General features: G+C 47.3%; 1 long non-coding RNA gene across 1 annotated transcript, besides 1 other annotated feature; it reads left to right on the plus strand.

Moving 5' to 3' along the window:
* Positions 19-519: an enhancer, noted in NCBI's record as "H3K4me1 hESC enhancer chr10:95315968-95316468 (GRCh37/hg19 assembly coordinates)". NCBI's record gives its function as "activates a minimal SCP1, AML or CMV promoter by ChIP-STARR-seq in naive H9 embryonic stem cells {active_cell/tissue: H9 hESC(naive)}" and the evidence as "EXISTENCE:reporter gene assay evidence [ECO:0000049][PMID:30033119]".
* Positions 287-4,911, plus strand: LOC105378436 (uncharacterized). The gene is made up of 3 exons (XR_946212.2): positions 287-936; positions 3,553-3,659; positions 4,825-4,911. It is a non-coding gene; the product is annotated as an uncharacterized LOC105378436 (long non-coding RNA).

Here is a 9,023-nt window from a genome sequence, read left to right on the forward strand (position 1 = left end):
ATTTTCTTTCTTTCTTTGTTTCTTTTTTTTTTTTTTGAGACAGAGTCTCGCTCTGTCGCCCAGGCTGGAGTGCAGTGGTGTCATCTCGGCTCACTGCAACCTCCGCCTCCTGGGTTCAAGCTATTCTCCCTGCCTCATACTCCCGAGTAGCTGGGATTACAGGTGCCCACCACCACGCCCAGCTAATTTTTGCCATGGTGACCAGGCTGGTCTCGAACTCCTGACCTTGAGTGATCCACCTGCCTCAGCCTCCCAAAGTGCTGGGATTACAGGCGTGAGCCACCGTGCCCAGCCTTGAAGGATGCATTGTTATTTTCGTTTTACAAATGAAGAAACAGAGATCTAGAGAAGTGATGTCACTTGCCCAAGAGTGCACAGCCAGTGAGCTACAGGACAGGAATCAAACCCAGGAGGCCACACCCAAGTATCAGACATTTCCTGCAAGTGTTCAATTGTGAGGCTTGCTCTTCCCCTTCAGCTGCACCCCACAGGCAGCGCCAGAGTGCTGAAGCATGCAGCCCCAAGCAAGGGCCAATGGGTGAGCAGGAGTGGCAGAGGCCAGGTTCTGGCCACTGAAGTGTGTTGTAGCTTTGGGACTTTCGGAGTGGAATTCCAGAATGTTCCATCAGGTTCCATTCTTCAGTGATGCATGGTTGCAAAGCTGCAGCTCAGGGAAGAGCCCCTCCAAGGTCACTGAGTTGAGAATCGAGAACCTGAGTCTGCTCCACTGGGGCTAACGAGCCATGTAAGCGGGACCATCTCCCTTTGCTGCACGGGGGCCACCTGCTGCCTCCTCTGTGAAACGGGAGAGCATACCACCTGCCCTGGAGAGCTGTCCTCGAGATGAGATAAAAGCATGGATATAAAAGGGTCTGGAAATTTGGAGGTCTTTGCTTGTATGAATATGTGTCCTTATTATCGCCATGTGACGGGCTGGTGAGTCTTGACTGAGTTTCTCTGGAGATTGAAGCAGTAGTCAAGTTTTTAACATAGGATTTTTTGTTTTGTTTTGTTTGTTTGTTTTTAATGACTGCCACACATACTCTGTCCTAAAAGAAAGAGAAGTTTAACAACAGCAAAATAAGCAGGACATAATCTTGCAAGTAAAAATGGATGTGGTTAGCCTTGGGGAAAACTACACAGTTGACACTTTTCCCATTTCACTTTAAACCAGCGGAGACTAAAGCAGAGGCTGGCCTCTGAGAGCCATTGCTGGAGGGTGGGTGTGGTGCATAGCTCTGTCCTTTCACCTTGCAGCCAAGCTGGGGGCTAAATATGGCACGGGACAGTTGTGTGCATTGAGGAAACTGAGGGATAGAATAGAAGAATAATGTGACTGAACAAAAATTTTTTTTTCTTTGAGACAGAGTCTCACTCTGTCACCCAGGCTGGAGTGCAGTGGTGTGATCTCAGCTCACTGCAACCTTCACCTCCCGGGTTCAAGCGATTCTCCTGCCTCAGTCTCCTGAGTAGCTGGGACTAAAGGCACGCGCCACTATGCCCAGCTAATTTTTGTATTTATAGTAGAGACGGGGTTTCGCCATGGTGGTCACACTGTTCTTGAATTCCTGACCTCAGGTGATCCACCCGCCTCAGTCTCCCAAAGTGCTGGGATTACAGGTGTGAGCCACTGCGCCAGGTCCTGAAAACAATTTTTAAATGCATATTACAAAATAGTGTGTGCAACACAATTCCCATTTTATAAAATACCTGTAGGCATACAGACAGCCCCGGATGTACAGAAAACACACTGGAAAGTTACACAGCACAATCTCACAGGATTATCGCTGTGTAGAAGAATGAAGGACAAATTTATATTTTTCTTGCATTTCATAATAGAAACATAGAACTAATAAAGAAGCCAAAAAAAAAGAAAAAAAAGAGAAAAGAAAAAAAGAAAGTGATGCAAGAGGAATCGCGCAACACTGCAATATCTTGGCCAATGGTCTCCTTGGGATGTGCGGAATTTCAGTAAAGCTACATCTTGTACTGTAGAAAGCTCTTCTGGGCTTGTGCTCACATCCTTACCTGCTGTCTGGCCATTTCTAGGACTGGGCATGGTGCTGGCCATGCAGTACGTGCTCCATCAGTGTGTGCTCAATGGACTGCCTGCCATCCTCGGCTGGCCACTGTGGCTCCTGGCCGAGAGAGGGCCACAGAGAAACACTACCGCTTAAGTAGAAATGGACCATATCAAAATTGCTCTTCTCTCTGAGTTGAACATTTTGTATTTAGGGGCTTTAATTACATCTTTCCTTGGAAGAATGGGAAAAAGGTGATTACCAAGATCCCACTTATCCAGTTTGAGCTCCCGTATTGGGCAATCTGGCCTCATTAAAATAAAGACTGTCTTTAAAACATGGGGGGGAGGGGAGGCGTCAGATGTTGGATCTTCTATTGATTAGACTCCTTGGTGGCAAGCAACAGGAGTTAATAAATTCTGGCCAATTTAAGCTGGAAAGAAATGCACTGGGAAAGATCCTGGTAGCTACCACTGTGGACAGGAAGGCTGCAGAGCCCAGGTGATAAAACAGGCAGGGCTGAGAGCGCTGAGTTGCAGGGACCACTGCTCGAGCCCCTGAGCTTTAGCCCCCAAACAGAACTCACTTGTCTTACTAATATTTATTTATTTATTTATTTGCAACAAAGTCTTGCTCTGTCGCCCGGGCTGGAGTGCAGTGGCACGATCTTGGCTCACTGCAACCTCTGCCTCCTGGATTCAAGTGATTCTCCTGCCTCAGCCTCCCCAGTAGCTGGGACTACAGGCGTGCGCCACCATGCCCAGCTAATTTTTATATTTTAAGTAGAGATGGGGTTTCATCATGTTGGCTAGGATGGTCTTGATCTCTTGGCCTCGTGATCCACCTACCTTGGCCTCCCAAAGTGCTGGGATTACAGGCGTGAGCCACAGTGCCTGGCCACTACTACTAATTTTTTTTTTTTTTTTTTTTTTTTTTTGAGATGGAGTCTTGCTCTGTTACCCAGGCTGGAGTGCAGTGGCGCGATCTCAGCTCACTGCAACCTCTGCCTCCCAGGTTCAAGCGATTCTCCTGCCTTAGTGTCCCAAGTAGCTGGGACTACAGGCTTGTGCCACCACACCCAGGTAATTTTTATACTTTTAGTAGAGATGGGGTTTCACTATGTTGGCCAGGCTGGTCTCGAACTCCTGACTTCGTGATCTGCCCACCTCAGCCTCCCAAAGTGCCAGGATTACAGGTGTGAGCCACCGCTCCCAGCCACTCCTATTATTATTGTTATTGTTCTTTCTACCCCCCCTTGCCAGTCCCCCTACTCCTCAGTGTTCCTCCTTCCCCAGTTACCTCAGCAGTGGGGGGCTGATCTTTTCTGGTCTATTGACTCCTAAGGCCTCCTCAAGGCACTGGGGCTTCTTGAGGCATGGCTTCACCTCTTCTGTCTGTCTGGGAGGAACAGAGTTTAGTCACCCCAGGACTCCAGCGACAGTGGTCAGGCCTGGCCGTCCAGTGTGCGGACATCCCCGCCCTCACAGTTGCTAAAAGGCTGGCCCTTGCTCTCCTTTCTTCATCTCCTCAGGCAAGATTGTCGCAGAAATGAGCTTGAGGAAACTCCCAGGCAGACAAAGTCGGCTCAGTGGAACTCACAGATGGGCCCTGCCCCGTCAATGCCCCCGCTGTGATAGGGTATGTAACTGTCCAGTGGGTTCACCTTGCCCGCTGCCCAGATAGAGCTGATTTATCAAGACAGGGGAATTGCAACAGAGAAAGAGTAATTTATTCAGAGCCGGCTGTGCAGGAGACTGCAGTTTTTTTATTACTCAAATCAGTCTCTGCGAGCATTTGTGGATTATAACTTTTAAAGATAATTTGGTGGGTAGGGGCTTGGGAAATGGGGAGGGCTGATTGGTCAGGTTGGAGATAGAATCACAGAGGGTCGAAGTGAGTTTTTCTTGCTGTTTTCTATTCCTGGGTGTGATGGCAGAACTGGTTGAACCAGATTACCGGTCTGGGTGGTGGTGGCTGATCCATCGAGTGCAGGGTCTGCAAAATATCTCAAGCCCTGATCTTAGGTTTTGCAACAGTGATGTTACCCCAGGAGCAATTTGGGGAGGTTCAGACTCTTGGAGCCAGCATGACATCTGAACTGTAATTTCTAATCTTGTAGCTAACTTGTTAGTCCTGCAAAGGCAGACTAGTCCCCAGGCAAGACGAGGGTCTTTTCGGGAAAAGGGCTGCTATCAATTTTGTTTCAGAGTCAAACCGTGAACTGAATTCCTTCCCATAGTTAGTTCGGCCTACGCCCAGGAATGAACAAGGACAGCTTGCTTAAAGTTTAGAAGCAAGATGGAGTCAGTTAGGTCTGATTTCTTTCACTGTCATAATTTCCTCAGTTATAATCTTACAAAGGCAGTTTAAGGTATGAGGTGGGCTTTGAGGGCTTGAGCAGAAACCGCAATCAAGTGGGCAGGAAGAGCCCGTGAGAAGGGCCATTGCTGCCCTCAAGCCCACAAACCATGAGGCACAGCCACTTCTAACCACATTGCAGGTTTCGGCCTGCCAAGGACTCCCACCTGAGGGGCGTGCACAGGGGCTCAGCCCCAGCCAGGCCCTGTTAGCCATGCCCAGAGCCTTGGCTGCATCAACCCTGGGGAAGGAGCGCCTTCCAACTCATCTGTTCAGGGAAGTCCCTTTTTTTCTAACTTATGTAAAGCTTTGAGTGTGCTAGCTGTGGCCCGGCCTCTGTATCTTGTTTAAAGTAGACACAGTATGATCCCTGCCCTGGGCCCCTAGTGTGTGAACAACTTATAAACAGGCAGCTGCTCACTTGAGTCTTGCTCTTATTTTCCAGCTTCTACTTGGGTTCCTATCTTTTGGTGGATAGATGTGCTATGGACAGTGGAGAAGATCACAGTGCTGGGCATGCCAGAGCACTTGCCCCTTCCCAGGCATGTGTTGCTCTCTCGGGCCTTCCTACCTTTGCATTGCTGTTCCCTTGGTCTGAATGCCTATGCCCTGTCTCCCTGGGAACTCTTGGGCCTCCTTGAAGAAGGAGCCTTGCACCACCATCAGGGTGCAAGGTGGTCTTCCCCGTCACCCCACTCTGGCCTGGCTGAGGTGGTTACTCAGCTATGAATGCTCAGGGCAGTTGGGTCTGGGGATCTGGGAGGGGTCTCACCTTGACAGGATGGGAGGAACAGAGGCAGGAGAGAGACTTGAAATCTTTGCACGAGGGTGAGCAACCTTTGCATTCTGCTCTATAATATATCCTAATTTTGCACAGAGATACCCTGAACCTGCAAAGGCATATGTCTCAGAACTGATAGGTATAGACAGACAGACAGACAGATACATACATACACAGACAGATGGACAGACTCTCACAGGGAGATTTGGAGGTCGAGTAATGAACCAGTAAGCATTTTCATACTAACTTTATAACATTTTTCCAGAGGAAAAATAAGAAAACCGGCTCACACCTGTAATCCTAGCAGTTTGGGAGGCTAAGGCAAGTGGATCACTTGAGGTCAGGAGTTAGAGACCAGCCTGGTCAACATGGCAAAACCCCATCTCTACTAAAAAGATGGGTCTCGAACCCAGCTACGCAGGAGGCTGAGGCAAGAGGACCACTTCAACCTGGGAGGCAGGGGTTGCAGTGAGCCAAGGTCACGCCACTGCATTCCAGCCTGGGCAACAGAGAGAGACTCTGTCTCAAAAAAAAGTGAAAGAAAGAAAGAGAGAGAGAGAGAAAGAGAAGAAAAGAAAGAAAGAAAGAAAGAAAGAAAGAAAGAAAGAAAGAAAGAAAGAAAGAAAGAAAGAAAGAAAGAAAGAAAGAGAGAAAGAGAGAGAGAAGGAGGGAGGGAGGGAGAGAAAGAAAAGAAAAGAAAAGCATACACAGAGAAAGTCCCCTGTGCCCCTCTCCCCTCCTGTTTGGTTGGAAATGTAAAGAGGTACAGAAGCCACCTGCAATGTTGGCTTTCTCTTTAGCTTAGAAACGAGACTGTCCAGATTTACGCTTGGTAAATCCTTGTCTCAGTTTCTATGGCTTTATCTGAGAGTGGAAGAGGTAAAGAACTAATACCATGGGCAATAAATATGACTTTCACAGTGATGGATCAGCCAATGGGTATCTACTGTCCAGTCTCCAGGGAATACGTGAAGTCTGTCTACCCTGAGGATGCCACACCCAGCCCTGTGTATGAAAGGGATTTCACGGCTGTGCACATCTGGGGCCCAAACACAAAGCGGAGCCCAGTGGGTTGGTTAAAGGGGTCACAGAGGTTGCAGTGAAACATCTCTGAGAAAAAATGGTAACATTTTTGGCTTTTGCCACTAGATGTGACCCCACGACAGGGTTAAAAATAAGAAGTAAAGTCTTGTGAGGTCTCAAGAGCACAGGATTTCTCAGCCTCAGTACTATCAACATTTTGGGCTGGACAATTCTTTGTTGTGGGGAATGTCCTGTGCATTGTAGGATGTTAGCAGCAGCGTCCCTGGCCTCTACACACTGGATGTCAGTAGCAATCTCCCAGTTGTGACAACCAAAAATGGCTCCAGACATGACAAAATGTCCGAGGGTGGGGGTTGCAGCAAAACCTCCCCCAGTTAAGATGCACTGCTCTAGCGGTTCAGAGCAAAGACTCCGGAGTCAGACTGTCTCGGTTCAAATCCCAATGTTTGCAACTTGTAGGGGAATTGAATGAGTTAACAAACACAAAGGAAGGATGGCCATATACTTTATCCTCCAAACCAGGGCAATTTGAGAATGAAAAAGGTTCTAATAATAATTTCATAAACTGGTGCTGGCCATGGTGGCTCATACCTATAATCACAGCACTTTGGGAGGCCAAGGTGGGAGGATTGCTTGAGATCAAGAGTTCAATACCTGTCTGGGCAACATAGCGAGACCTCACCTCACAAAAAATAAAAAAAATTATCTGGGCATGGTGGTATGCACCTGTAGTCCCAGCTACTCATGAGGCTGAGGCAGGAGGATCACTTGGGCCCAGGACTTCAAGACTGCAGTGAGCTATGCCCATGCCACTGTACCCAACTTGGGTGACAGAGTGGGACCTTGTCTCCAATAATAATAATAATAATAATATCATAACTGGGACTGTCAGCAAGCAGAGTTGTGTCCATAATCCATATACAGTGTTGACCACAGAGTCTGACCCACAGTGTCCACTCAGTGACCACTGTGCGAAATGCTTTACATTAAGGAACTTCATTTAATCTTCCCCAAACCCTACGAGGTCAGTACTATCACTATCCCCTTTCATATATGGGAAGACTGAAACTCTAAGAAGCTACAGTAACTTGCCCAAGGTCACACAGTGAGTTGTCCTGCCAGGGCTCTGGTCCCCAAAGGCTAGTGCCCACATGGGCTCGGGTACTGCAGGGAAATGGCACTACTCAACACCCATCCGGCTCTGCATGAACTGCTAGCTCTACTAGGTAATTCACAGTTCCAGCATTAGATTCATGACATTGTACCTTACAAAGCTGAGTGTTTAGGAGTTGCTGTGATAAAAAGCAGGAACTGCATGAAAATCAACATGGAGCAGTGCTCAATATGATTTTGTTTTGAAAAACTGTGCAGAGTACAACAAGTGCACCCAGCCCATCAGGAAGCTATTGTTGTTGGTTTTTTAAAAAAAATTTTTTGAGACAGGGTCTTGCTTTGTTGCCCACATTGGAGTATAATGACCATAGCTCACTGTAGCCTCGACCTCTCAGGCTCAAGCCATCCTCCCACTTTAGCCTTCCAGGAAGCTGGGACTATATAGGTACAAGCCCCCATGCCCAGCTATTTTTTTTTTTTTTTTTTTTTTTGTAGAGATAGGATCTGGTTATGTTGCCCAGGCTAGTTTTGAACTCCTGGGATCAAGTGATCCTCCAGCCTCAGCCTCCCAAAGTGCTGGGATTACAGGGGTGAGCCATTGCACTTAGCCTCACTATGGTTATTTAAGAATGAAACAACAAGCCGGGTGAGTGTAATCCCAGCAGTTTGGGAGGCTGAGGTGGGTGGATCATTTGAGGTCAGGAGTTTGAGACCAGCCTGACCAACATGGTGAAACCCCATCTGTACTAAATTATAAAAATTAGCTGGGTGTGGTGGTGGGTGCCTGTAATCTCAGCTACTCGGGAGGCTGAGGCAGGAGAATCGCTTGAACCCAGGAGGCAGAGGTTGCAGTGAGCTGAGATGGCACCACTGCACTCCAGCATGGGCGACAGAGTGAGACTCCCTCTCAAAAATTAAAAAAAAAAAAAATGAAACAATAAAATTTTTACCCCAATTTATATGTATTATTATTTTCCAAGATAGTTACTAAGTTGTTAGGACATAAAGTCTTATTAAGTTGTTTGGACCCAACTACTTAATAAATGAAACGTTTCTGTTTGGTTTTTCTTTTTGCCTAGGGGTGCCATGAAGGTGCAGTGAATGGAGAAAGTTTATGAGCCTCTGCACTCAACATTTTGCCATTGGTAGAACCCAGGAGGTTAATGTTGGAGAAGGCCTTTTAGTGCAAAGAGCCCACCCTGGTTGTACATTCTAGGGAAACCTCTCTGTGTCTATCTCATCACATCAGCCTGTGATGTAATCAATCTCTCTCCGTCTCTGTCTGTGCTTTTCCCTCTTACTTTCTCTCTCTCTCTCTCTCTCTCTCTCTCACACACACACACACATACATATACCTATAGTTTCCTTTCCCTCACACAAACACTAATATCCCCTGACCCTAATCAGACAGTTGCCAAAACCCCATTTGTCTGAGTTCCCTTTATTTCAATTTTTTGCCCTTTTTCAACTGTTTCAGGAAGCAAACCAGTTCTGTTTTTCAACTTGAACCTAGTCAATGTTCAAGCTGAGCATCTACTTCTCAGGTTAGAAGTCACATCATCAGCTCAGACCTGTTTGATACCGTGAAAAGCAGACACACAAATGGACCCCCTCCCCAGACAGTACTTCAGACTCTGGCGCAACCAGCCTGAAGTACTCAGGTTTCTTTCTTTCTTTCTTTCTTTTTAAGATGGTGTCTCGCTGTG

The sequence above is a fragment of the Homo sapiens genome, chromosome 10, assembly GCF_000001405.40.
Source record: "Homo sapiens chromosome 10, GRCh38.p14 Primary Assembly".
NCBI lineage: Eukaryota > Metazoa > Chordata > Mammalia > Primates > Hominidae > Homo > Homo sapiens.